Source organism: Homo sapiens, chromosome 6 (assembly GCF_000001405.40).
Source record: "Homo sapiens chromosome 6, GRCh38.p14 Primary Assembly".
Lineage (NCBI taxonomy): Eukaryota > Metazoa > Chordata > Mammalia > Primates > Hominidae > Homo > Homo sapiens.
Window position 1 is genome coordinate 3,809,382 of NC_000006.12, and position 2,221 is coordinate 3,811,602.

The window sequence follows — 2,221 nt, forward strand, 5'->3', positions numbered from 1 at the left end:
GATACAAAACTATGGGTGTTCAAGATGCTTATGAAATCACAGAGTCTTTACATACATCCTATGCACATCCTCCTATATACTTTATTTATTTAATTAATTTATTTATGTATTATTTTTATTTTTTAGAGAAGGATTTCACTCTATCCCCTGGGCTGGAGTACAGTGGTGTGATCATAGCTCACAGTAGCCCCAATCTCCTGAGCTCAGGCAATCCTTCCCCCTCTGCCTTCTGAGTAGCTGTGACTACAGGCCCACAGCAACATGCTTGCCTAATTTGTGTACTTTTTGTGGAGATGGGATCTTGCTATGTTGCCCAGGCTGTTCTCGAACTCCTGGCCTCAAGTGATCCTCCTGCCTTGGCCTCCCACAGTGCTCTCCTGTATACTTTAAATCATCTCTACAGTACTTCTAATACTTAAGACAACACAAATGCTGTGTAAATAATTGTTATACTGTGTTTTTTTGTTTGTATTAATTTTATTGTATTGTTATTTTAATTTTTTTCCCAAATATTTTTTATGCGTGGTCAGTTAAATCTGAGGATGTGGAACCTGCAGATTTAGAGGATGGACTCGACCTGTGTGGTCATCACCTGGACTGTCCAGCCTGCTTCAGTGCATTGCTACATGCCCATTCCCAAAACTGATACTGGAGCACTCCACCAGGCCACCTAGTCAAGGTTACAGCTTGACTCCCTGTGGCCAGGAGTCCCCAACTACACATAGCCATGGGGCAGGGGAGAGAAAAGCAGGCCTTCTCGGCGACACTGCCCACCCACCATGTTCCTCGGCCCGCCGCAGCCGCAGCTATCCTTAACCCCTCCTTGCAAGCTCTGTGTTTATAGTCTTGATCTCAGCCTAGGGGACTTCATTCAAAGCCCAGGCCCTTGGGCACGGTGGCTCACGTCTGTAATCCCAGCACTTTGGGAGGCCAAGGCAGGCAGATTACCTGAGGTCAGGAGTTCAAGATGAGCCTGGCCAACATGGCAAAACCCCGTCTCTACTAAAATACAAAAAATAGCCAGGTGTGGTGGCACATGCCTGTAATCCCAGCTACCCGGGAGGCTGAGGCAGGAGAATTGCTTGAACCTGGGAGGCAGAGGCAGCAACGGGCTGAGATTGCGCTACTGCACTACAGCCTGGGAGACAGAGTGAGACTCCGTCTCAAACAAACAAACAACAACAACAACAAAAACAGGCCCTGAGTTTAGTAGCTGAATCTTGCCGTATTTCTTACACCTAAGTTCTCAGCCCTATTAACTGAGCTCCCAGGAAGTTTGCTCCCATCACGGTTCCCAGGATGGACACCTTGTTCCCCAATGGCTTGACCCATTCTCCCTCAGCCTTCCCGGGATCTGCGTGGGGTCTCCTTTGCCACTGCTGGGCTTTCCTGTGTCACTTGCTGCCCCTGGCGCCTCTGCCTCCATCCCAAGTCATAGCTTTCTCTGTGGCCTGCCCTCCATGGTGTGAACACTGCCCACTCACAGTCCCTGGGTGTTCTGCGTCCTGCTCCAGCTCAACTTTTCCGCTGCCCTCTTTTGCCATGCTCTGGGGCAACACCAGACTTGTCACCGGTTGCTATGGTCTGAACGTGTCCCTTTAAATTCCCGTGTTGGAAACTTAATCCCCAGTGCAGCAATGTGGGAAGCTACAGCCTTTTGGGAGGTGGTTGTGTCACAAGGGCTCCACACTCATGGATGGATTAATGTAGCTCTAAAAAGGGCTTGTGGGAGTGGGTTCACTCTCTCTTCCCCTTTCACCTTCTCCCATGTGAGGACACACAAGAAGGCTCTCACCAGATGTCACCGCCTTGATTTGGGACTTCCTAGCCTCCAGGAGAATGAAGAAGTAATGTTCTGTTTTTCATAAATTACCCAGTCTCAGGTATTCTGTTTTAGAGCACAAAACAGACACTGGCATTCTTCATGCTACCGTGCCCTCCATGTGGCTCCTAGCCAAGGCTGTCCACAATGCAGCCTTGTGATGCCTTGGGATGCAGGGTCACCCTGCCATCACTATGTGTGCCAGCCCTCCAGCTGGCTACTTTCTGGGTTCCTCCATGGGTCAGGCAGGAACTTCAGCACATCCTGCATATGATGCAGGAGCTGCAGGACGCTTGGTGGGGTGCTCCACTCTGGCCCTCCCTTCTACCCCACCATGCTGCCTCACCCTACTTACTGCAACTGTGGGCAGTCAGCCAGTGTTTTAGCGCATTGGGCTGC

At 50.1% G+C, this 2,221-nt stretch overlaps 2 annotated features.

Moving 5' to 3' along the window:
* Nucleotides 385-885: an enhancer, noted in NCBI's record as "H3K4me1 hESC enhancer chr6:3810000-3810500 (GRCh37/hg19 assembly coordinates)". NCBI's record gives its function as "activates a minimal SCP1, AML or CMV promoter by ChIP-STARR-seq in naive and primed H9 embryonic stem cells {active_cell/tissue: H9 hESC(naive and primed)}" and the evidence as "EXISTENCE:reporter gene assay evidence [ECO:0000049][PMID:30033119]".
* Nucleotides 886-1,386: an enhancer, noted in NCBI's record as "H3K4me1 hESC enhancer chr6:3810501-3811001 (GRCh37/hg19 assembly coordinates)". NCBI's record gives its function as "activates a minimal SCP1, AML or CMV promoter by ChIP-STARR-seq in naive H9 embryonic stem cells {active_cell/tissue: H9 hESC(naive)}" and the evidence as "EXISTENCE:reporter gene assay evidence [ECO:0000049][PMID:30033119]".